This window comes from Homo sapiens, chromosome 1, assembly GCF_000001405.40.
Source record: "Homo sapiens chromosome 1, GRCh38.p14 Primary Assembly".
NCBI lineage: Eukaryota > Metazoa > Chordata > Mammalia > Primates > Hominidae > Homo > Homo sapiens.
In genome coordinates, this window is record NC_000001.11 from 230,595,651 (window position 1) to 230,622,752 (window position 27,102).

At 42.9% G+C, this 27,102-nt stretch overlaps 2 long non-coding RNA genes and 1 pseudogene across 3 annotated transcripts in view, besides 1 other annotated feature; 1 reads left to right on the forward strand and 2 right to left on the reverse strand.

Annotated features, from left to right (window-relative positions):
* LOC107985357 (uncharacterized) overlaps window positions 1-9,183 on the reverse strand; it is a 53,351-nt gene extending 44,168 nt beyond the window's left edge. Inside the window, exon 1 of the long non-coding RNA XR_007066934.1 lies at window positions 9,014-9,183. This is a non-coding gene — a long non-coding RNA (uncharacterized LOC107985357). The remainder of the gene's footprint in view (window positions 1-9,013) is intronic.
* On the forward strand, window positions 29-13,406 carry LOC124904544 (uncharacterized). Of its 2 annotated transcripts, XR_007066932.1 has the most exons (3): window positions 29-103; window positions 5,909-6,144; window positions 10,531-13,406. It is a non-coding gene; the product is annotated as an uncharacterized LOC124904544 (long non-coding RNA). The 2 variants fall into 2 exon arrangements; XR_007066933.1 differs by lacking the exon at window positions 29-103 and having other exon boundaries at window positions 5,781-6,144.
* Window positions 14,993-15,287: a silencer, noted in NCBI's record as "tiled region #2982; K562 Repressive non-DNase unmatched - State 22:ReprW". NCBI's record gives its function as "represses a minimal TATA promoter and a strong SV40 promoter by Sharpr-MPRA in K562 cells {active_cell/tissue: K562}" and the evidence as "EXISTENCE:reporter gene assay evidence [ECO:0000049][PMID:27701403]".
* Window positions 16,300-16,798, reverse strand: RPS24P4 (ribosomal protein S24 pseudogene 4; annotated as a pseudogene).

Consider the following 27,102-nt stretch of genomic DNA (forward strand, 5'->3'; position numbering starts at 1 on the left):
CTTATCATGACTTACAGATCTGTCCCCTGCAGTGGCATACGAGGTTCTTGAGGGCAAAGACTATATCTACATTAATCCTGTCCCAGTGTCCGGCCAATAGAAGGTATTCAGTAATAGCTATTGAGTGAATAAGTTAATGAATGACTGAATGAATTAGTAAATGAATACTCATACATAAGTCTGGAAAACAGAGACACGAAAGATAATAATTCTTCAGATAGCTAAGGAAGACATAGCCATAATTTGAATTGAGAGGAAGTATAGGAGAATAAAGAAAAAAAAAGGCCAAAGAACCCCAAGTTTGGGTCTAAAAACATAAGCCTAGGATATAAAATACAGAAAAACAATTGATCTGGGTAACGATTAATGAGGTCAAACCTTTCGAACTAGGTTCAATAATAATAAAAAGATTTTCCTTTAGCCTCTCTACTTGTACAAGGTACATGACTCAAGGCATCATTACCTTGTAGTAAAATAGTTCAACTGCACTCAGCTGACCTTCTGTGTTGATGACTACTAGATAGTAGGACAGGCAAAGGTTTTGGTTCCAGTGACTCGATTTGTAAAGGAAAAATTCTGCCAGATTCCTTGAGTGCCAGGCAAGAGGCTTTTAGGCAATAATGTCGGAGAATCAATGGTTTAGGGCTAATTTAATCAGAAATAACAAAATAAGTATTTGAAGGTGTCAGAACATATTTGAACTTGTATTCAACCAAGAAATATGTATTGGTTGTAAGATCTTAGAAAGAGGCCCACATCTCTGCCTGGTTCTCACATGCCTCCCCTAAGGATAGCAACGAAAAAGCCATTCTTGGAACAGCACCTGACCATCCACTGCCAATTAGGTCAGTGTCTTTGCAAGAGATTAGACCCAACTTGGGTCCGTGTCTGGACTTGGTGTTGATGTGCCTATCACAGGTCTGCTCAAGTGAAAGAACCTAAGAACTTCACCAACTGTTTCTGGATAGGCCTGTCCCAAAATAGGCAGAGAGAACCAAAGCCTGAGGAAATGGTGCTGGTACAATATTAGGCATTATATTATATCAATATTAGATATCAATGACTAGGTATGTGGCATTATTCCCTGCTTTGCACCAGCAGATAAAGCCATGAAGAAACAGGTAAAAAGGTTTATCACCTCTTGGCCAGGTACAGTGGCTCACAACTGTAATCCTAGCTACTTTAGGAGGCTGAAATGGGAGGATCGCTTGAGGCCAGGAGTTCGAGATCAGCCTGGGCAACATATTGAGTTCCTGTCTCTTAAAAAAAAGTGGGGGGGTTATCATCTCCTGCTCCTATGGAAAGGCTCACTGGAGTCAGTCAAGTCCTACTGCTTCCATTCTCAACCTGCTCAGCCCCATGACTGTCTTACACCCATTCTGCGCAGGCAGCATGGACCTGGACATCAGACAGCCTGGGCATATATTAACCCCTGCTTTGTGTGAGTTAATGATCTAACTCAACAAAACCTTAGTGTCCTAATCAGTGAAATGGAGATAGTATTAGGAAAACCCTCACAGGGTCATTTAGGAGATTGGTCATGATAATGGATGTAAAGGGCTTAGTACTCTGCCTCTGCCTTAGTGTTAGTTATTATTATTGGTCATGGGGACCACGAGATAGTCTTCCAATCCATGCTTCCAGTGGATTGGGAGAGAGGGTTTGTTTATGAGCAGTTTGATTCACTATACACCCACCTAAGTCAACATTGCCTCTTACACACTTTGCAATTTTCTAACAGGTTTTCATCTACCATATTCAAGATGGAAACTGTGCCCCAGCCCCACACAGGCTGCCCATGCCTCTTGATATGTTAAACTCCCATACATATCCTCACTCACCCGCAGTTGCATTCCCCAATATTCTTGAGCCCAATGTAGGGGCAGAAATAAAAAGGCTAGCTTAGCCACCATACCAGTTAGAGTCAATCAGGGAGGCAGAATCACTAGGATATGTGTGCACACATGTGTTTGCATTTGTGTGTGTGAATATGGATTTGTTACATAGATTGCACCTTGCACAATTGTGGGATGAATTGTGTAGTCTCTATAAAGCCTAAAAAACATTGCTGTTATAAAACAATAGTTTTATGGGGCCATTAAAATATATTTACCCATACAATTTCACTTTATTTCTTCTTTATTCCTTGCATCTCTGAACTCCTGTCTAATATCATCTTCCTCCTCCTTAAAGAACATCCTTTAGAATTTCCCTTAATTCTCTAAAGTGGCATCAAATTTTGTAGTCTAAAAATGTCTTTATTTAGCCTTCACCTTTTGAATATAGGAAAAACAAACTCTTTTCCTCTAAACTCATACCCAACACTTCTGTGACCAGGTATGTGGGTTTTTGTGGGGTTTTTTTCCATACCAACCAATTCTCCAATTCTCTGGATACCAACTGAGTGTCCTATAATTCATTTGAATTCTGACACTGTCTACCTGGAATTAGTGTCAGACCCCACAGGTTAAAAGTCCTACAAGACTACCCCCACTTCAGATGCCAATCAAAAGCCCAGGTGGTTGTCATCTGTCCATCCGTGTTCCTCACCAACTGGCTATAAATTGGAGGTTCCCATGATCCCCTCCTTGCAGTCAATTATTTGCTAAATTGGCTCACAGAACTTAGGAAACACCTATGTTTACTAGTTTATTATATGGGTTACAGATGAACAGCCAGATGATGAAGTACACATGGCAGGGTCTGAAAGAGTTGGGGTGTGCCACCCTGCTGACACATGCATGTAGTCCTCAACTGGGAAGCTCTGCAATCCCTATAGTTCAGGGATTTTTATGAAGACTTCATCACACAGGAATGACTGGTTACAAACTCAAGCTCCAGGTCCTCTTCCCATCCCAAAGGATGAGGTCGAGGGTGGGACTGACAATTCCAAGATTCTAATCACAACTTGGTCTTCTGGTGACCAGCCCCCAACCAGAAGCCCACTGACAGTCACCTCACTAGAACAAAAGATGCTTTTATCACCCAAGAAACTCAAAGGGATTAAGAGTTCTGTGTCAGAAATTGGGGTCAAAGACCAAGTATTAGAACAAAAGATGTTACTAGCACCTCTATAGCTGAGGAAATTACAAGGCTTTAGGAGCTCTGTGCCAGGAAATAGGGAAAAAGACTAAAATATACATTTTTTAATTATGAATCACAATATCATGTTCTTAAAACATATTTTAGCTGGAGGGATGTGTGTGTATGTGTGTGTGTATGTGCACTTTCTCTTAGTACACTTGAAAACACAATTTTGCTGTCATCCCACTTCTATTGCTGCTGTTGAGACCTGTTGAATGTATTGCTGCTCCTTTGAAGGTACTCTCTCTTTTCTCTCTGATTCCTTCTAAGATCTCTTTGCAATTGGTATTCTGCAGTTCCACTATGTTAAGTACTTTTCAGACTTACTGTATATGGATTTTTATCTTTTGAAAGTTTGTGAAAATGTTCAGCCATTATCTTATCAAATATGATATCTGTCTTATTATTTCTTTTCTTTGCTTCTGAAAGGTTTGTTACACCCATATTAAACTTTATTATTCTACATTTCTTGCTCCATAACTTTGCTTTCAAATGTTCCATGGCTTTCCCTTTCTATGCGGTATTTTGTGTAAATCAAGAGCTATACTCCTATTCACCAATTCTCTCTTTAGTCATGTCTAATATGGGTGGTGTCAAATTCATTGATGCAGATTTTTATTTCAATTATTACATTTATTTTTAGACATTCTATTTCATTCTCTTTCAAATCTCTTTAGACATTAAAGTTTGTCTATTTTTTAAACATTAAAAGAATTTTAATTCTGTGTCTGATAATTCCAGTATCTAAGGTCTTTGCAGGTCAGTTTCTATTGTTTGTTGTTTCTGCTTATTCACCTCATAGTACCTTGTTTCCTTAAATGTTTATTATATTCTTCTGTGAGCTACTTGTTTTCCTTGGAAATTTATTTGAGGAAATTCTTTGATGTCTGGAATTAAGGCAGATTCTTTCCTAAAGGATTTATACTTACTTTTGTCAGATGCCTGGGAAACCACTAGTCCAGCGTCCCTTGAAGCTAAATTTTCACCCTAAGTGTGTTGTTATTATTGTTGTTGTTTTAACTAGATAGTTTGAATCTGTGCTGCAAGTGAGACAGGAATTAAGCAGGACTTGTTTTACAGGACCCTGCTGATAAGACAATGTGCAAAAAAGAAGCTGGCCAAAACACATCAAAACCAAGACAGCAACAAAAGTGACCGCACTGCTCATGATACATTAATTGTAATATATTAGCATGCTAAAAGACACTCCCACCAATGCCATGACAGTTTACAAATGCCAAGGCAATACCCAGAAATTACCTTATATGTTCTAAAAGGAAAAAGAACCCTCAGTTCTGGGAAATCCTCACCCTTTCCCTGGAAAACTCATGAATAATCCACCACAGCTTCATTAAGTCATCAAGAAATAACCACACAAATAGCCAATCAGCAGGCTATAAGGGTTGCTCTGCCTATAATGTAGCCACGCTTTCATTCCTTTGCTTTCTTTATAAACTTGCTTTCACTTCACTTTGTCAGCTTGCTCTTGAATTCCTTCCTACGTGGAGTCAAGGACCCATGTGGCTTCCTGGGCTGAGCCCCACTTTTGGAGTTTGCCCTGAACCACAAGTGTGCGTGGTTACAACTTTGCAGAGGTGGGTTTTCCCAGCTCTGTCCTGCACCAGGGAGCTGGGCAATTTTCCTTGCAATGCTAAAGTGTGGTAATGGGAGAGGTGGGTATTGTTGATGGAATGAAAGCCAAACTCTGTACAATATTTAAAGAGGTTTATTCTGAGTCAAATACGAGTCACCATGGCCTGTAGCACAGCCTCAAAAAGTCCTGAGAACACATGCTCAAGGTGGCTGGGTTACAGCTTGGTTTTATACATTTTAGAGAGACAGAAATTATAGGCTAAGACATAAATTAATACATGTAAGGTATACATTGGTTTGGCCCAGAAAGGTGGGACATCTCAAAGTGGGAACTTACAGGTCATAGGTGGATTCAAAGATTCTCTAATTGGCAATTGGTTGAAAGAGCTAAGCTCTGCCTAAAGAGTTGAAGTCAGCAGAAAGAAATGCTTGAGTTAAGATAAGGAGTGTGGTATAGGCCAAGGTTCTTGTTATGTAGATGAAGCTTCCAGGTAGCAGGCTTCAGAGAGAATAGATTGTAAATGTCTCCTTTTGGATCTTAAAAGGTGTCAGATTCTCAGTTAAATCTCTTTTTGATCAGGAAAAGACCTAGAAAGGGAAGGTGCTTCTCTACAAAATGCAGATTTCCCCCACAAAAGAAGGCTTTGCAGGACCACTTCAAAATACATCAAAGAAATAGACTTTGGGGCAAAATATTTTCATTTCCTTTAGGGCATGTTGTCATGTGATGCCATACAAGAGTCATTTCAGAATTTGGTATCTTATTGCCACAAAAAGTCTGTTTTGTCCATCTTATGATCTCTATTTTAATGCTAATTCTGGTCAGTTGTGCCTAAACTCCAAAGGGAAGGGTATAACGCATCTGACCTCCCTTCCCATCATAGCCTGTGTCAGGTCTCTGAGCCCAAGCCAAGCCATCGCATCCCCTGTGACTTGCACATATATGCCCAGATGGCCTGAAGTAACTGAAGAATCACAAAAGAAGTGAAAAGGCCCTGCCCTGCCTTAACTGATGACATTCCACCATTGTGATTTGTTCCTGCCCCACCTTAACTGAGTGATTAACCCTGTGAATTTCCTTCTCCTGGCTCAGAAGCTCCCCCACTGAGCACCTTGTGACCCCCGCCCCTGCCCACCAGAGAACAACCCCCTTTGACTGTAATTTTCCATTACCTTCCCAAATCCTATAAAACGGCCCCACCCCATCTCCCTTTGCTGACTCTCTTTTCAGACTCAGACCACCTGCACCCAGGTGAAATAAACAGCTTTATTGCTCACACAAAGCCTGTTTGGTGCTCTCTTCACATGGACATGCATGAGATTTGGTGCCGTGACTCGGATCAGGAGACCTCCCTTGGGAGATCAATCCCCTGTCCTGCTGCTCTTTGCTCCGTGAGAAAGATCCACGTACAACCTCAGGTCCTCAGACCAACCAGCCCAAGAAACATCTCACCAATTTCAAATCTGGTAAGCAGCCTCTTTTTACTCTCTTCTCCAACCTCCCTCACTATCCCTCGACCTCTTTCTCCTTTCAATCTTGTTGCCACACTTCAATCTCTCCCTTCTCTTGATTTCAATTCCTTTCACTTTCTGGTAGAGATAAAGGAGACACATTTTATCCGTGGACCCAAAACTCCGGCGCCGGTCACGGACTAGGGAAAGCAGCCTTCCCTTGGTGTTTAATCATTGCAGGGATGCCTCTCTGATTATTCACCCAGGTTTCAGAGGTGTCAGACCACGCAGGGATGCCTGCCTTGGTCCTTCACCCTTAGCAGCAAGTCCCACTTTTGTGGGGAAGGGGCAAGTACCCCAACCCCTTCTCTCCATGTCTCTACCTCTTCTCCACCTTTCTGGGGGGCAAGAAATCCCCAACCCCTTCTCCTTCACCCTTAGCAGCAAGTCCCACTTTTCTGGGGGAGGGGCAAATACCCCAACCCCTTATATCTCTGTGCCCCGATCCCTTATTTCCACGCCCCAACCTCTTATATCTCTGTGCCCTGATCCCTTATTTCCACACCCCAACCTCTTATATCTCTGCGCCCTGATCCCTTATTTCCACAGCCTGACCTCGTATCTCTGTGCCCTGACCCCTTTCCAGCTTTTCTGGAGGGTAAGAACCCCCAAACCCCTTCCCTCTCTGTCTCTACTCTCTCTTTTCTTTAGACTTGCCTCCTTCACTATAGGCAACCTTCCACCCTCCATTCCTCCTTCTTCTCCCTTAGCCTGTGTTCTTAAGAACTTAAAACCTCTTCAACTCTCACCTGACTTAAAACCTAAATGCCTTATTTTCTTCTGCAATGCTGCTTGACCCCAATACAAACTCGACAGTAGTTTCAAATAGCTGGAAAATGGCACTTTCAATTTTTCCATCCTACAAGATCTAAATAATTCTTGTCGTAAAATGGGCAAATGGTCTGAGGTGCCTGACATCCAGGCATTCTTTTACACATCAGTCCCTTCCTAGTCTCTGTGCCCAGTGCAACTCGTCCCAAATCTTCCTTCTTTCCCTCCCTCAGTCCCAACCCCAAGCATCACTGAGTCTTTCTAATCTTCCTTTTCTACAGACCCATCTGACCTCTCCCCTCCTCACCAGGCCGAGCTAGGTCCCAATTCTTCCTCAGCCTCTGCTCCTTCACCCTATAATCTTTTTATCACCTCCCCTCCTCACACCTGGTCCGGCTTACAGTTTCCTTCCATGACTAGCCCTCCCCCACCTGCCCAGCAATTTACTCTTAAAAAGGTGGCTGGAGCTAAAGGCATAGTCAAAGTTAATGCTCCTTTTTCTTTATCCCAAATCAGATAGCGTTTAGGCTCTTTTTCATCAAATATAAAAATCCAGCCCAGTTCATGGCTTGTTTGGTGGTAACCCTGAGAGGCTTTACAGCCCTAGACCCTAAAAGGTCAAAAGGCCATCTTATTCTCAATATACATTTTATTACCCAATCTGCTCCCGACATTAAATAAAACTCCAAAAATTAGAATCTGGCCCTCAAACCCCACAACAGGACTTAATTAACCTCACCTTCAAGGTGTACAATAATAGAAAAAAGTTGCAATTCCTTGCCTCCACTGTGAGACAAACCCCAGCCACATCTCCAGCACACAAGAACTTCCAAATGCCTGAACCACAGCAGCCAGGTGTTCCTCCAGAACCTCCTCCCCCAGGAGCTTGCTACAAGTGCCAGAAATCTGACCCCCAGGCCAAGGAATGTCTGCAGCCCAGGATTCCCCCTAAGCCATGTCCCATCTGTGCGGGACCCCACTGGAGATCAGACTGTTCAACTCACCTGGCAGCCACTCCCAGAGCCCTGAGAACTCTGGCCCAAGGCTCTCTGACTGACTCCTTCTCGGCTTAGCGACTGAAGAGTGACGCTGCCTCATCGCCTTGGAAACCCCCTGGACCATCACGGACGCCAAGCTTTGGGTAACTCTCACAGTGGAGGGTAAATCCATCCCCTGTTTAATCGAAACGGGGACTACCCACTCCACGTTGCCTTCTTTTCAAGGGCCTGTTTCCCTTGCCTCCATAACTGTTGTGGGTATTGACAGCCAGGCTTCTAAACCTCTGAAAACTCCCCAACTCTGGTGCCAACTTAGACAATGCTCTTTTAAGCACTCCTTTTTAGTTATCCCCACCTGCCCAGTTCCCTTATTAGGCCGAGACACTTACTAAATTATCTGCTTCCCTGACTATTCCTGGACTACAGCTGCATCTCATTGCCACCCTTCTCCCCAACCCAAAGCCTCCTTTGCGTCTTCCTCTCATATCCCCCCACCTTAACCACAAGTATAGGACATCTCTACTCCTTCCCTGGCAACCGATCACATGCCCATTACCATCCCACTAAACCTAATCACCCTTACCCCACTCAACGCCAATATCCCATCCCACCGCACGCTTTAAAAGGATTAAAGCCTGTTATCACTGACCTGCTACAGCATAGGCTTCTAAAACCTATAAACTCTCCTTACAATTCCCCCATTTTACCTGTCCAAAAACCCGACAAGTCTTACAGATTAGTTCAGGATCTGCGCCTTACCAACCAAATTGTTTTGCCTATCCACCCTGTGGTGCCCAACCTGTACACTCTTTTGTCCTCAATACCTTCCTCCACAACTCACTATTCTGTGCTTCATCTTAAAGATGCTTTTTTCACTATTCCCCTGCACCCCTCATCCCAGCCTCTCTTTGCTGTCACCTGGACTGACCCTGACACCCAACAGTCCCAGCAGCTTACCTGGGCTGTGCTGCCGCAAGGTTTCAGGGACAGCCCTCATTTACTTCAGCCAAGCTCTTTCTCATGATCTACTTTCTTTCCACCCCTCTGCTTCTCACCTTATTCAATATATTGATGACCTTCTTCTTTGTAGCCCCTCCTTTGAATCTTCTCAACAAGACACACTTCTGCTTCTTCAGCATTTATTCTCCAAAGGATATCAGGTATCCCCCTCCAAAGCTCAAATTTCTTCTCCATCTGTTACCTATCTCTGCATAATTCTCATAAAAACACACATGCTCTCCCTGCTGATCATGTCCAATTAATCTCCCAAACCTCAATCCCTTACAAAACAACAACTCCTTTCCTTCCTAGGCATGGTTAGTGCCGTCAGAATTCTTACACAAGAGCCAGGACCGCACCCTGTAGCCTTTCTGTCGAAACAACTTGACCTTACTGTTTTAGCCTAGCCCTCATGTCTGTGTGCAGCAGCTGCTGCTGCTTTAATAATTTTAGAGGCCCTAAAAATCACAAACAATGCTCAACTCACTCTCTACATTTCTCATAACTTCCAAAATCTATTTTCTTCCTCATACCTGACGCATATACTTTCTGTTCCCCAGCTCCTTCAGCTGTACTCACTCTTTGTTAAGTCCCACAATTACCATTGTTCCTGGCCTGGACTTCAATCCAGCCTCCCACAGTATTCCTGATACCACACCTGACCCTCATGATTGCATCTCTCTGATCCACCTGATGTTCATCCTATTTCCCCACATTTCCTTCTTCCCTGTTTCTCACCCTGATCACGCTTGATTTATTGATGGCAGTTCCACCAGGCCTAATCACCACACATCAGCAAAGGCAGGCTATGCTATAGTACAAGCCACTAGCCCGCCTCTTTGAACCTTTCATTTCCTTTCCATTGTAGAAATCTATCCTCAAGGAAATAACTTCTCAAGTGTTCCATCTGCTATTCTATCTGCTATTCTACTACTCCTCAAGGATTATTCAGGCCCCCTCCCTTCCCTACACATCAAGCTCAAGGTTTTGCCCCCACCCAGGACTGGCAAATTAGCTTCACTCAACATGCCCCAAGTCAGATAACTAAAATACCTCTTAGTCTAAGTAGACACTTTCACTAGATAAGTAGAGGCCTTTCCTACAGGGTCTGAGAAGGCCACCACAGTCATTTCTTCCCCTCTGTCAGACATAATTCCTCAGTTTAGGCTTCCCACCTCTATACAGTCTGATGACAGACCAGCCTTTACTAGTCAAATCACCCAAGCAGTTTCTCAGGCTCTTGGTATTCAGTGGAACCTTCATATCCCTTACCATCCTCAATCTTCAGGAAAGGTAGAATGGACTAATGGTCTTTTAAAGGTAAACCTCACCAAGCTCAGCCTCCAACTTAAAAAGGATTGGACAGTACTTTTACCTCTTGCTCTTCTCAGAATTAGAGCCTGTCCTTGAGATGCTACAGGGTACGGTCCATTTGAACTTTTATATGGACACACTTTCTTGCTTGGCCCCAACCTCATCCCAGACACCAGCCCTCTAGGTGACTATCTTCCAGTCCTCCAGCAGGCTAGACAGGAAATTCACCAGGCTGCTAATCTTCTCTTGCCTACTCCAGATCCCCAGCCATATGGAGACATCCTAGCTGGATGATCAGTTCTTGTTAAGAATCTGACCCCTCAAACTCTACAACCTCGATGGACCGGATGCTACCTCGTCTTCTATAGTACCCCGACTGCCGTCTGCCTGCAGGATCCTCCCCACTAGGTTCACCATTCCAGAATAAAGCTGTGTCCATCGGACAGCCAGCCTAATCCCTCCTCTTCCTCCTGGAAGCCGCAAGTACTCTCCCCTACTTCCCTTAAACTCACTCATATTTCTGAAGAGCAGTAATAACCCTTATGAGCCTAATACATCCCTTCATTCTATTAGGTCTGTTCGTCCTTACCCTACTTTTTGCAACAGGGCTTTACGAAGTCACCCCAACCACTTAGGCCGAGCCCAAAAAAACTAGTCATCCCTACTATCTTCTGTCTGGTCATACTCCTATTCTCCATTCTCAACTACTTATAAATGCCCTACTCTTCTTTACACCGCCGGTTTACACTGTTTCTTCAAGCCATCACAGCTGATATCTCTTGGTGCTAACCCCAAACTGCCACTCTTAACTCCCTCTTAGAGTGGGTAGATGATCTTTGCTGGCAAGGCACCCTCCAATACTTCCACCCTGATGAAGTTCTATTCTTTACTTTTATACTCACTCTTATTCTCGTTCCCATTCTTATGCCACCCTCTACCTCTCCCCAGCTATCTCCACCACACTATCAACCTTACCCATTCTCTCCTAGCCACTTCTAGTCCCTCCTTAGTGAACAACTGCTGGCTTTGCATTTCCCTTTCTTCCAGTGCCTACACAGCTGTCCCCGCCTTACAGACAGACTGGGCAATATCTCCCGTCTCCCTACACCTCTGAACTTCCTTTAGCAGCCCTCATCTTTACCCTCCTGAAGAACTCATTTACTCTCTAGACAGGTCCAGCAAGACTTCCCCAGACATTTCACATCAGCAAGCTGCCGCCCTCCTTCGCACTTATTTAAAAAACCTTTCTCCTTATATTAACTCTACTCCCCCCATATTCGGACCTCTCACAACACAAACTACTATTCCTGTGGCCGCTCCTTTATGTATCTCTCAGCAAAGACCCACTGGAATTCCCCTAGGTAATCTTTCACCCTCTCGATGTTCCTTTACTCTTCATCTCCGAAGCCCAATTACACACATCACTGAAACAATTGGAGCCTTCCAGCTCCATATTACAGACAAGCCCTCTATCAATACTGATAAACTTAAAAATGTTAGCAGTAATTATTGCTTAGGAAGACACTTACCCTGTATTGAACTCCATCCTTGGCTACCTTCCCCTTGCTCATCAGACTCTCCTCCCAGGCCCTATTCTTGTTTACTTATATCCAGCCCCGAAAATAACAGTGAAAGGTTGCTCATAGATACTCAATGTTTTCTCATACACCATGAAAATTGAACCTCCCCCTCTACGCAGTTACCCCATCAGTCCCCATTACAACCTCTGACAGCTGCCGCCCTAGCTGGATCCCTAGGACTCTAGGTACAAGACACCCCTTTCAGCACTCCTTCTCATCTTTTTACTTTACATCTCCAGTTTTGCCTTGCACAAGGTCTCTTCTTCCTCTGTGGTTCCTCTACCTACATGTGTCTACCTGCTAATTGGACAGGCACATGCACACTAGTCTTCCTTTCCCCCAAAATTCAATTTGCAAATAGGACCGAAGAGCTCCCTGTTCCCCTCATGACACCGACATGACAAAGAAGAGTTATTCCACTAATTCCCTTGATGGTCGGTTTAGGACTTTCTGCCTCCACTATTGCTCTCAGTACTGGAATAGCAGGCATTTCAACTTCTGTCTCGACCTTCCGTAGCCTCTCTAATGACTTCTCTGCTAGCATCACAGACATGTCACAAACTTTATCAGTACTCCAAGTTGACTCTTTAGCTGCAGTTGTCCTCCAAAACCGCCGAGGCCTTGACTTACTCACTGCTGAAAAAGGAGGACTCTGCATATTCTTAAATGAAGAGTGTTGTTTTTACCTAAATCAATCTGGCCTGGTGTATGACAACATAAAAAAACTCAAGGATAGAGCCCAAAAACTTGCCAACCAAGCAAGTAATTATGCTGAACCCCTTAGGCACTCTCTAATTGGATGTCCTAGGGCCTCCCAATTCTTAGTCCTTTAATACCCATTTTTCTCCTTCTTTTATTCGGACCTTGTATCTTCCATTTAGTTTCTCAATTCATCCAAAACCGTATCCAGGCCATCACCAATCATTCTATACAAGAAATGTCTCTTCTAACATCCCCACAATATCACCCCTTACCACAAGACCTCCCTTCAGCTTAATCTCTCCCACTCTAGGTTCCCACGCTGCCCCTAATCCCGCTTGAAGCAGCCCTGAGAAACATCGCCCATTCTCTCTCCATACCACCCCCCAAAAATTTTTGCCACCCCAACACTTCAACACTATTTTGTTTTATTTTTCTTATTAATATCAGAAGGCAGGAATGTCAGGTCTCTGAGCCCAAGCCAAGCCATCGCATCCCCTGTGACTTGCATGTATACGCCCAGATGGCCTGAAGTAACTGAAGAATCACAAAAGAAGTGAAAAGGCCCTGCCACGCCTTAACTGATGATATTCCACCATTGTGATTTGTTCCTGCCCCACCTTAACTGAGTGATTAACCCTGTGAATTTCCTTCTCCTGGCTCAGAAGCTCCCCCACTGAGCACCTTGTGACCCCCGCCCCTGCCCACCAGAGAACAACCCCCTTTGACTGTAATTTTCCATTATCTTCCCAAACCCTATAAAGCGGCCCCACCCCTATCTCCCTTCGCTGACTCTCTTTTCAGACTCAGACCACCTGCACCCATGTGAAATAAACAGCTTTATTGCTCACACAAAGCCTGTTTGGTGGTCTCTTCACACGGATGCGCATGAAAGCCTGAACTAGTTTTTCAGGTTTTATTGGGATTCTCTTGTCCAAGGGTGGAGGGGTCATTCAGTCAGTTGGGAGGCTAAGAATTTTCTTTTGGTTTACAATATGTTTCCAGGCCAAGCCTACACTAAGGGTGGGGTTCTTCAGGGTACCATCTTTGAGGGAAGAGGGTCTCCCAGGATGTCCCACTTTGCTGTCCCATGCTTTGCCTCCTGCCTCTGGTGCTCCCAGAGGCAATGAAAGCTGAAGCTCAGAATCAGCAAGCTTGGCAAATGTCCCCCAGCTAAAAGCTGACTCTGTTTGCTTCTTTCGGTTCCCACTTCCCCTCAGATTTTGCCCTGTGTATTTCTTGGTTTCTTGCCAGCTCATCAGTGCTTTTAAGAAGGCTCTGATTTTCAAACTTTTTAGTTATTTTCAGCAGAAAGGATGATTTGGCTAACTAGATTGCCATATTGCCAAAAGAGATCCCCGCAGAGCTTGTTTTTGTGAAACATAAAGAGAAGAAAATGATGTTTAATATGATGCACAGGTTCGTAAATAATGCTCTGCTATTATTCTTGTGAACAGGTATTTCAATCATCTTACGTGAATCTTACGTGAGTCAAGCACAAAGTGACTTTTCCTTTCTTCTCAGGTAGCATGAAGTGTTACAAGTCAAGCGTATGACTTTCTTTAAAAAGAGATAAAAAGACATGTGAAGAAGGAAATGGATTACAGCAATCAAAGAAGGGTTATTTCCCTTGGGTTAGAATTATAAAATTTCCAAGTGAAGATGAGTAAGTCTATACTAGTGTCGAACAAGTATAGGAGTAAAAACAAATAATCCTGAATAAATAACATGAACCTTTTGACACTCTTAAATTGGCCTTATTTTTAAAAAATAGGTAGAGTTTATCTGCTAACTTTTCCCTAAGTACAGACACAAAAAGGAAACTAAGCAGGAATCCTTTTCTCTTTCAGATGTAAACATGATTTTTGTCTAGTGAAAGTGGTAGGCACCAGAACGAAGTTCTCCTAACTTACCAAAAAATAAGCAAAAACACCTGAGTGAGCATCTTCTTTCCAAGGAAGCATATGCTAAGTCACTCCCCCGTGTATGGATGGCTCCCCTCAGAGACAGGTAGACATGGAGCTTCCTTCCTTTGAGGAGAACAAGAGGTAAACAGCAGGTGCCACCAGCCTGGCCTTGGATGCAGGAGACCACTAGGTGGGCTCAAGGCCTTATTTTCAAAATTATGAATTGAATTTGATGACCATTAGGGTCTCTCTCAGATTATTAGAATGAATAAACAATAGGGAGCTTTTGTTTATTTTGTTCTTGCAGGTCCGAGGCTCCCATCTAAACATCAGCTGTTCTGAAGCTCCTTGCACATGCTGGGGAAAGCTGCCCTGTCTGTCCTTCCTCTGCAAGCTCTCTGCATACACCTTGGCCTCTCCCACAGTCCAGTCCAGCACCCCTTTGGCCCTGTTCTCAGTGAGGGAGAAGGGAAGGAAAAATCATATGGGAAAAATTCAGACTGCAGAAGTGGCCTGCCTGAAAAGTCACAGCAACAGGAAAAAATAAAATAACCTGGAAAAAAACTCAGGCTGCACCTGCAAACAGATAAGCAAACAGGGTCCAGCTCAAAAGCTCTTTGTTCTTTGTACAATTAGTGAGCTCCCAGGAAAAAGTTTCCTCCCCTTTACAGGCATATACATGGTGGGAACTTGCACAGGGAGGGAGGGGGCTTACCTAAAACAAACCCACAGTTATACAAACAAGAGAAGTGGGGCTTTGTGCTTGCCTAGAGACATACCCACAGCTGCATAAGAGAAGAAGAATTGCACAGACAGCTTTACTGGTAAGAAAAGTTATTCCAACAGTTACAGGGAAGAGAGCAGTTTCTTATAAAACGCTTTTAAATTCAGCTGTAACCCGGCAATCCACTTGGACTCCCCTCTCTGCTGCAGAAAGCTTTCTTTTTTGCTTATTAAACTTTGACTCCACCCCGACCCTTGTGTCTGCATTCCTTAATTTTCTTGGACATAGGACGAAGAACCCCAGGGAAACATACGTTGGTGAGACTGCAGCATCAGCATGGCGGCGCAGTATTAGCTCAGATAGATTCCATCCCCTAGGATATTTCTATAGAAGAACCTTTGTGAGAGACTAAATGGCTATGGGAAGAGGGTTTTCTAAATGCAGTGGGGTTTGGGAATGGAGATGTTAGGCTCACCTTTGACCCTGAGCTAGGCAAGTGGCCAGAGGGATGAGAAAGGATGGATTATCTAGGTCTAAACTATTAATAATATCCTCATATTGGAAACTGGCCATGGCTTTCATAGCTTCTCTCACTCAAATTTGTATTACATGCCATGGCCAGTTTAATCTTCCAAACGTTGTTATTACCACCTAACTCTCCTGTCTCAAATCATTCGTGGCTGCGTTCTGCTTGTACAATAAAGTCAAAATACCTTAGCTTGGCTGGCATGGTCCTCTGGGAGTGAGCACTAATTTATATCTTCCCAAAGTCCTGCTGTTCTAGAAATGCCTGAATCCTCACCTACCCTTGAGCTTCCCACTTTGTACATGTTTTTCCACTTAATTCTTTCTATAAAATACAGTGGGGCTTTGTTCTGAATTTGGCTCCTTAAGAAGAGGAAATGTTTCAGGACAAAGGCAGACAGCTGTCTCTGCTATTAAGGCTCTTTGATTTGGCTCAGTACATTCCAATCTTGCTTCTGTAAACCATCCTCATTTGCAATCGTGTTATCCACCACCTGAGTCCCACTGTGGTTACCTAGTTCTAATCTCTCCACCTGATTCTGGGGCATTTCAAGGTCTAAGTGGCAGCAGTAGGATGCCTTTCTTTCACTTGAAAGTTTTTAGTTTATTAATCCACACAATGTCTGCAGATAACATAATTGCAGCATCTTTACTCCTTTGGCTTTTTGCCAGCACCAACATTGGCCTTTGCCAACCCCCTGAGCTTTTTCATTCTATTCTTGCATTCGTCTCACTGCTTTCTTGAGGTCTTTTTCTTCTCATGGAGGCAGGCCATGTCTTGCAAGTCTATGTTTGGGTTCATGGTTTTTTACATAATCCAAAAAAATCATAAATCACACCAAAGTCAGCTATCTTGCCACCACCAAAATAAGTTCTGAATCCAAATACAAAGATGACATCCAGTGTGGTCTTGTATATTTTGACTAATTTTTCCAGAATTTCTGTCTTTGGTACTGTTGCCTTCCCAGTGTTAAGGATATCTATGACCATTTGTTTCCTTTGAAGTAGTTGGTTGGTCATGAGTTCCCTGGTCCAGATAGTTACTGTGTCATTCATGATGGCAGGTGATCTGCAGGCAACCGGGGAAGAAAACTCAGGAGGATGCTTTAAATCAGATGAGTCTATCTCTTTCTGAGCCCCAGATTGACACTGACCTAGTGTGTGTGTGTGTGTGTGTGTGTGTGTGTGTGTGTGTGTGTGTGTGTACATACATACACATTTTATGTGGTATTCATTAATTCTATCTATGGCTATGTAACAAATTACCCCCAAACTAACAGCTCAAAACAAGAAATATTTAAGTAATTATTATTTCACACAGTTTCTGAGGGTCAGAAATTTATAGGCAGCTTAGTTGGATGGTTCTCTCTTAGGGTCTTTCATGAGGTTGCTATCAAACTCTCAGCTGGGGCTGAAGTCATCTGAAGGCTGGGCGATTCACTTTCAAATTCATTTGTGTGATTATTGGCAAGTCTCCATTCTCTGCAGGGCCTCAGTTCCTCACCACATGAGCCTCTCTCTACAGGTTGCCTGGGTATCCTCAAAAGCCAATGATGAGAGAGAGAGAGAACAAAACAGGAGCTGCAGTGTCTTTTGACCTTAATCTTGGAATTGGTACATCATCATTTCTGCCATATCCTATTGGTCACACAGATCTGGGAGGGTACTATGGAAGGGTGTTCACACAAGGACAGACGGATGTTTGTGGTCATTTTGGCGGCTGGCTTCCACACCCAGCCATGTTTTTATGCCTCCCCATACACATTCTAACATCTTTGAAATCGGAGTGCATCTTATAATCAATGGTATGTCATAGTTTAATTGGCAAAACCTCTAGTTAGTGGTATATAAAGTAATCACGTGTCTTATAATTGTATCTTATTCAGGGAACTATCCCATAGGGATAGGAGGCTTCCTGACTCCTGGCTACCAGTCTCGCCCATGTTGCTCATGGTCCCATGGAAAGTCTAGTTGCTGTCCCACCATATGATGCTCAGCTTCTTTTCTACACCCTTGCACACACCAGTCCTTCTGAGGTGTCTTCTTCATAACTTAAATGACTACATCAGGCCTAATTCCTCCAGAAGCTTTCCCTGGCCACCCTAGAGCACCATAGTCTCAGTATGCTCTGTAGTCCCATAACACTGTTAATGATTCCATCCATTCGGTGTTTAATTTTGTACCTTGCAGTAATTGTTGAGGTTTCATGTGTACCTACTTCACATGTACGTGCTGTGTATATATCCAGTGTGAATACTAAATGTTGCTGTATGCATTTGGAGTCCTGTTTTATTTTTAAAGCAGAATTTTGGGACTCTTCATAAAACAATAACAACAAATCTCTGCTCCTTGGGTGAAATTTTATAACTAATCTGATAGACAAAATTATAATAATCAGAAATGTACAACTATACAAAAATGTATAAGTCAAAGATGCAAAGGCTGATTTAGAGCACCTCAGTTTCCAACAGTTCATCTACTTCATGACTGTTTTGTTCTCTGTAACATCTAAGTTATAAGATTTATTTGAACATGACTTCTGTGCATTCCATTGCACCATGTGGTGGGGAGAAAGGTGTCTGGTCTATTTTTGCCCACAAAAATAGGAATTTTTTCTGGAAACAGGGTTAGGAACAAAAGATCAGTACCTAACAAAGCTCTTGTAAGTGGTTTAACTTATTGTCTTATAATATTTTTCAGGATTCATTGAAACAAGTGAATTGATTTCATCTATCTATCTATCTATCTAAGTTAAGGGAGGTTCAACAGAATGCATATTATAAGAAAAAAATGTTAAGGGAGGGTAACATATATGAACTTCAAATAAAACTAACTAGAAATCCAGCAGACAGTATTGCTAAATTTGGGGATTTTCTTTCAGTTCCTTGGATCATTTACCATCCGCTTCCTCATAAAACAAGCAGTTCAGGATTGTTGCTGGAAATGCGTTGGTAAGGCCCAGCCCAGCTCTACTCTGTCACTGGCTCAGAAGCACCTCTATCACCAGATATATATATAAGAAAAAATGAATCATCACTTCTACCTCATATCACATCCAAAAATTATCTAGAAATGGAATATAGGCTTACACACAAAAGCTAAAATTATAAAACCTCTTTAAAAAGCATAGAGCAAAAATCGTTATATATTTGGGATAGGCAAAATGGGTTAGGCCAGGTAGACTGTTCATTGGGCACCACTTTTCAATTCAGAGGGGCAGGAAGTAAGGCGTTCCCTTTCGGTCTTGGGTCTAAGCTGTACTGACCCACCTAGCCCTAAATACCTGACACATTTAACTGAATTTGGTTGGTATCTATTCTCAGTATAGGTTAGAGCCCAGAAAAGGGGATGATTCACTGGCACCTACTCTGACATCTAAGAGTGCATGGATCTAATGTTCTTTAGTTCTTCCAGCCTTGGAATAACTATCTTACAGATGACATTACAAGGTTGGATGAGATAGTGTCTATAAAACACTCTGAGATCTCTAGAAGAATGATGTCTAAAATTCACAAGGGATCACTACAGGTAACTACTCTTCACAAGAATATGTTCTGACTTGTCGTTTCCAAGAGTCTGTCTTCCATATGTCTTGGGATGTCTGTTGTCTTACTCTATTTTGTGCTGCTGTAACAGAATGCCACAGAATTGGTAATTTATAATGAACAGAAATGTATTTCTCACAGTCCTGGAAACTGGGAAGTCCAAGATTGAGGCATTGGTATCTGGCGAGGGCCTTCTTGCTGCATCATACCATGGTAGAAGGCAGAAGGGCAAAGAGAGGGAGAGAGAGAAAGAGGCACACACTCATCCTTTTCAGGGTCAAATTCATCCTTTTATAATAAGCCCATTCCCACAATGCTGTAGTTTGAATGTGTCTCCCAAAGTTCACATGTGGGAAACTTAATTTCCAGTGTAACAGTGTTGAGAAGAGGGGTCTTTAAGAGGTTATTAGCTCATGAGGGCTCTGTGCTCATGAATAGATTAATGCTATTATTGAAGGAGTGGGTTAGTTATTGTGGGAGTAGGTTCCTGATAAAAGGCTGAGTTTGGCCCCTTTCCTCCTTTCTCTCACCCATGTGGTGACTTTCATCATGTGCAGGAAGGCCCTCACCAGATAATGGCACCCTGTTACTGGACTTCCCAGCCTCCAGAACTGTGAGAAATAAATTTCTTTATAAATTACCATCTGGGGTAGACTTTTAGAGCAACACAAAACAAACTAAAATGTGTGATAATGAACCCACTCCCATAATAATGACATTAATCCATAAGGGCAGAGCCCTGATGGTGTAGTCACCTCTCATTAGACCCCAACACTGTTGCACTAGGAATTAAGTTTCCAACATATGCTTTTTGGGGGACACATTTAAACCATAGCATCTGTGTTTAAACATTTATAGTTAGTTTCAGGGTTGGTGGATGACTCAGGGAGCTGGTAGATTAACACAATATACGTGATATACCCTGCCTGTTCTGTGCCCTCTGCCTTCCTCCCTATTGTCTAGCTCCCCTTGAGCATGATGACAGGCAAAATTTGTTCAAATAAAGCAATTGGAGAAGTCTTCTGTTAACTTGGTCCCTGAGTGTCTAAGTCCCTGAAACATGAAATGGAGACATGTCTTCAACTTAACAACATCACAGCCTCCATCCCTTGCACACCATGGGAAGCATTAATCATATTCATTAGGGATCTAGTTGCAGAATATATATATCAAAGGAGGAGGACAGAAGTGAGGGAAAACAATTATGTTTAACGAATGAACTAAAACAATTATGCAGCCACCCACTGAGTAGAGAGCTTTGAGCTCTGCTTCAAATGGGTTATGAAAAAACCAACTGAGAAACTGTATTGCAATTGAGCTGGACAGCTATTTCAGAGAACTCTTTCACAAGATAAGTCAACCAACATCACTGATTAGTGATGTCTAAAAGGTGCTCTGTTATTAGATCTCCTGTGAGTCTACAATTAACAATTTTCTGTAATTTTTAGAAGTTCAATAATAGCCATATGAAGACATTAAAATGCTGCCTCTGGTCATCTTGTGACAGTTACATTTGTTATAATTTTTGACAGCTCAGCATCTCCTGGCCACTCTTCCTATGTTGAGGAATCTCCCCTATTTCACCTTGCCTCCCCAAAGTAGGAACCAGAAATGTTCTTTCTCATCCTACCTTGGCAACTTTTGGAAACCCACCTCCTCATCATAGGCAAGACTTCCTATCATGTGACTGGAAAGAAACATCTATGACATTTATATTTATTCCATGACCCAGGTATCATTTTGTAGGCTGCCAAACATTCAGCCAGCAAGTGAATGGTCCATTTATTTGCAAGCTTGGGCTGATGCTTCTTACCTCTAAAAGCTAATAACTGTCATTGCTACCAAAGATTGGTACAGTTAAGCATGGGCATGTGTCCTAGGTCAATCAGACACATTCACATGAAGCTTCAATGGGGAAAGAAGAAACAGGTACCACGCAGACCTGTTTCTAAGAAGGATGGAGACTGAGTGTTGGAGCCTTACAGCAAGCATGACCATGGTTCTCTCCAGGCCCACAGTTGGGGTATCACTGCAGTGTTTCTCTGGAATGCTTTGTGGTGTAGCATGTCTGGCTCTGTTGGGGGCACAGCTATAAAACCTGACTTTGACCTTCCTGTGTTCTTTAAGGTCCCTGATACTCTTTAATAAAATTCTTTCCTGCTAGTTAGAATGCTGAGTGATACACAATGCTTTTTAGAAGCTAAATAAGAGGAGAACATGCGACTGTTTTAGAAAGCTGTTAAAAGTTCATGCCAGTTGGGCAGGCACGGTGGCTCACGCCTGTAATCCCAGCATTTTGGGAGGCCGAGGTGAACAGATCACCTGAGGTCAGGAGTTCGAGACCAGCCTGGCCAACATGGTGAAACCCTGTCTCTACTAAAAATACAAAAAATTAGCCAGGCGTGGTGGCATTTGTATGTAGTCCCAGCTATTCGGGAGGCTGAGGCAGGAGAATTGCTCGAACTCAGGAGGTGGAGGTTGCAGTGAGCCAAGATCACGCCACTGCACTCCAGCCTAGGTGACAGAGGGAGACTCAGTCTCAAAAAAAAAAAAAAAAAAAAAAGATTGTACCAATTGATGGTGGCAATGGCAGTACTCAGCTTTTAAAGATAAGAAGCATTGGCCCAAGCTTGCAAATAAACAGCTCACTCACTAGCCTGCTGAATGTTTGGCAATGTACAAAGTAATACATAGGTCACAGAATAAATGTCATAGATGTTGCTTTCTAGCCATATGATAGGAAGTCTTGCCCAGGATGAAGGGGTGGGTTTCTAAAAGTTGCCAACACCACTTTTAGTGTAGGAACTCATGGAAATAATCCCTGTGTCCTGTACTCTGACATTAGACATTGGTCCGTTGGGAGGGCAGAGAGACACTCAATTTGTGATCAGCCGCTGAAAGCTGCAGAAGACTTCAACTGAGTATAAATATGACCCGGGAGAGACAGTGCATGGAAGTGACAGACCTGTGCTATGATTTGAGCCCTTCAGCTAACCAGCTCAGAAAATATACCCTCCTTTCATCTGCAAGGAGTATAATACAGAGTGAAATGATTGTATAGGATTCCCCAGACAAATCCTTTACTGTAATGTCTTTCTACAAATATTAGGCTCTGAACAAACACATAGAGCGAGCCACCTGCAACTTGTCAAAACAGTTTATAATCTTTTGCCAAATATTGCTAAGTCCAGTTTATGGGCAGGTATTGATTTTTTTTAGGTAGACATACCTTAGACACCCTAATAAGTTCCCCTAAAGTTAATTTTGAGATTCTGTGCCAGGTAGGCTCTCTTGGGTCAAAGAAAGTCTACCAATCTCAGGAGATCAGAGCCTAGTGTAGGAAGACCTAGGGAAGCTGAGAAGAAGGTCTCCATGTTGGCTGCCACCCTGGCTGGCACTCAGGTACCTGAAGAGTTGTCTCTAGCCATGGGTTCTTTTGGGGTCACTCTCGCAGCAGGCACCTGCCTGGCTCTCATGCTCAGTCATTGCTGTTATTCAGTTCCATTGTCCCTTCTTCCTCCACTCCTGCACTGTGAATTACCTTCCCTCCTGTCTTCAGAATTCCCTCTAGTTTATGGCTTCTGCTTACTTATAAGCACGTCTGCCTTATGGTTTCAGTTGAGTGCCTTTTGTGTCTTTCAGCTTCTGCTCCTACTTCTGACTGCTAATATCGATGACACCAGTTATCTGCAAATTCCTCATAAGGGGCTCCAATGACTTCATTTAGCCACTCTGCACTGCAGACCCTATTAGTCAGAGCTCTCCAGCTGTCTTCCAGAATGCAGACTTGAGCCCAGATAATATGGTAGATATAGTGGTGTGCCTTGCTTCACCCAGCCAGTTCCCCTTTTGTGTTCCATATTGCACTACACCTCACAAATGGGTGCTTGTGCTGTACTCGTCAGCTCCTTCTCATATATTAGAGCACAGAAAAGAGATAGACAGCTAGCTTGTGAACATTCTGAACTTGCAAGTAACAAGTTGTGCAGAGAGTATCTGGGCAGATTGTATTTTCCAAAGATAACTACACCAATATAACCCATCCTGCATTTTCTCCTTAGAGTGGGAAGTTGACACTGTGGGACCATGGTCCTTCCTGTTGAATCTAAGCAGGCCTGTGACTACAGTGGAAGGGAAGCTACCTGACTTCCAAGGCTGACTCATAACAAGTGGTAAGTCTTCCACCTATCTTCTTGGGGCCCTTGCTCTTGGAATCCAACCATGACGCTTGTGGAGGTGTTTCAGCTCAGCCCTCATTGATGTCCTGGCTGACAGCCAGCATGAACCACCAGACACACGAGCATTCAGATGATTCCAGCCTTCAGCCCCCAAGCTGCCTCAGCTAATGGTGAGTGGAGCAGAGACAAACCATCTCCACCAAGTTAAGCACAAACTTGCAGATTTATAAGAAAAACAAAACCAACTCCATCTTAATCATTTAGGTTTGTGGTACTTTGTTACCCAGCACTAGACAAGTAAAAGTATCTCTTACTATCTCCCCAGTGATCTTATCCCATCCACAGATCCCCCTCTTTCCTGTATCCTCACCATCATCATCTCCACTGGCTCCTTAACTTCAGCCTTTAAATATACTTTAGCAGCTTCCAGCCTAAAGGAAGAAAAAAAAAATCTCTTTATCAAGTCAGATCCCTTCTTTCACTCTTACCAACTAGCTCTGTTCTTTCACATTCAAATTTACTATAATGATTATCTACTCAACGCAGCTACCTTCAAACTCCTCTGAGCTACTCTATTTACCAGAAGCAAGCATTTTCCCTCTGCCCAGTGAACTTCTAGTTCCAAAACCAATGGACGACACTCAATATTTATCTTCCTACTTGTCTAACACCACAAATCTCACTGTGGGATGTCATCTGCTCATTTGCTCCACTAATACCAAAATGGCTTCAACTCTTTACGTACTGATGTGCAACTCTTATGCACTAATGACTCGGGGCTGGAAAACAGCTGGGAGGAAAGACAGAAATGTAAACCAAAGAAAATGAGGCAAGTGTCAATCAATTTAGAGGTTTATTTTGCCAAGGTTGAGGATGTGCCTGGGAAAAAGGACACAAATCACAGGAACATCTGTGATTCATGCTTTTTCCAAACAGGGTTTGAAGACTTCAATATTTAAAGGGGAAAGAGTGGGCAGCAGAGGAAAGAAAAAGAATAAAAGGGGGGAAGGGTAGACAAAAGGTGGCAAGTGGTTTCTTTTGAGGTTCTACAGATCCCCATCTTTCCTGTATCCTCATCATCATCCTCTCCACTGGCTCCTTAATCTCAACCTTTAAATGTACTTTAGCAGCTTCCAGCCTAAAGGAAGAAAAAAAAATCTCTTTTTTTTTTCTCATTCTTTTTGAGGCTTTGATTAGCACTCACCAAATCCACATTTTATATGTTAAAGGAGTGGGTAGAGGAACACAGTCAACTATGCACTTGTCTCATGTTCAGTGAGTTTGCATTTTTATATAAAATAAAGTAAACAGAGAGCAGGGGAAGCAGTCATGAGACATGCATTTGTCTCAGGTGAGTGGAGGAGGGATTCCTAGTCCTGCCTGTCCTGCACCTGTGGAGATAAGCTCTTAATTTACATTGTCAGGGTGAAATTCACAAGAACTCTGTTTCAGAATAAAGATCTTAGGGCCCCCAAAGAATTTCCTCATGAGCAAATTGTGAGGGAGGCCACCTGGGGAGATATGTGGCCTTCTATATTTGCAGCTACCTACTTAGGAACAAAATGAAGGCAGTTTTTGCGTGACTCAGTTCCAAAGCTAAACTTTTCCCTTTGGCATAGTTTGGGGTCCTGAATTTTTTATTTTTCTTTCATGTAAACAAGTTAGGATTTATTGAAAGACTTCCAAGTGCCAGGTGCCTGTCTAAGCACTGTCAAGCAATAAAATTTCAACAAATTGAGTTTAATTATCTAACTGGCTTTTATTAGCAATTCATGAATTGGGCAGCATCCCATTTATGAAATAGAAAGGTGCTCTAATGAGCTGAGCAGAGGAAGTTGGCTTTATGGAGAGCAAATGACGGAAGAAAGCAAAAACAAGGAACAAAAAACAGATTGTTCATTTTAAAATTATTTTCCTTGTAGGGTTAAGGCAGATGGGAATTCATTATCATGCTGCCTCAGGCTGACCAGGACCCTTTGGATTGATTGCTGTGAATCTTGTTGTTTAGGAAAATGTCCCATATATAAGTTCAGCTTCATTACATGGCACTCAGCATGAGTGACTCCATTCTGGTTTGGTCTGGTCTGGTCTGCTGGGGATTAGTGCATGAGTTCAGTCAAAAACTGTGGCCTCCCATAAATTTCATTTCACAGCGCTTTTGCCTAGGTTGACAGTAAAGAAGGAAAAGTGTAGTAGAAATGTGGTAGCTGGCCCTGAGCTGGCCCCCAGAGATCCTCACTCCTGGAATCCATGCCCCTATGTGGTCCCTTTTCACAGTGAATAGAACCAACCTGTGTGACCAATAGGATACTGCAGAAGTGGTGGTGTGTGGCTTCTAAGAATAAGTAATAAAATGCATTGCAGCTGCTGCCTTGGCTTCTGGGGAAGCCAGCTGCTGCATGGTTAGATCACTCTGCAGCAAGACCCCCACAGAGTGCAACTGAGGCCTCCACAACAGCTGGCACCAGTGTGACAGTCACGGGAATAAACTACCCTGGAAGTGGATCCCGTCACTCCAAACAAGCCTTCAGATGGCTGCCAGCTGAGCCAACATCCAACTGAGCCTCATGAAAAATCCCAGACATGGTGAGAAATAATAATGAGTATTGTTTTAGGCTACTGAATTTGGGGGTATTGATTATGCAGCAATAAACAATTACTATAAGAAGTTGCGTTCTACAGTCAGAGGAGCCTGTGTTTCATTTCCACTCGATCACATGGCCACATGTTAACTTCCCCAAGCCTGAGTTTCCTCCTGCATAAATGACAGCACCCACTTCCTACTGTCATTTCGAGGATTATATTAGATAATCCATGCAGAATGCTAAGCATGATGCCTGACATACAGTAAGCTTGCTGCAAATGTTAGCTATCATTATGATTATTACTCCAGCTCTACCTATTCAAATTTTTGTGCGGTTATCAAGACGTGATTCTTACAACAGTGTTTGAACATAAAAGAAGTGATAGTAATGAAGGGACCCACTTGGATCCACCAAGATGGCATAAAGATTACTTTAAACTGAAGACATTTGAAATATAGCAGAGGCAGAAAGAAGCCTTTCTGGAGGTTCCCTTATCTGACTAAAGGCAGAGACTTCTGAATAAATCCCCTGTCCTGGGAAGCTTCCAGCCAGGAAGGAGACTAACCATTAGAGAAAGTGCATAAACAAACCTTATCAAAAACTGTCTACCTTCCATTTGTTCTCCTAGAACAAATCTTCTATCTTTCCCCCACCCTAACCCTCACCGTTTCCCTTCCCTGGTTAAGCTGGTATGTAAGCCCGTACTCCCAGCTGTTCAGTGAGTTCATCAGTACTGAGTACTCCCACAGACAAGGGAATCAACTTCATCTTTTCTTTTGTTAATATATCGATTGTCAGTTAATTTGCAGACCCCTGGTATCTGGACCTAAGTTAATAGAGGAAAAGTTTTTCTCCCAACAGTAATATAGCGCCTTCAAGGAATGCCACAGGTATCAAAATAAAATAGAAATAATAAAGAAGTACCATTATTAACTTGGATTTAGAGAACCTTAACCCTAGAATCCATTTTGTCCAGTTCCCTGTGTGACGTAGAAATGGAATTCTGCAACTTCTGTCAGGGGCTGAGCGGTACTTTTAACCCACTCTGAGACAAGAAATGTCACATACATGCTTGAGCCAGTGAAGAC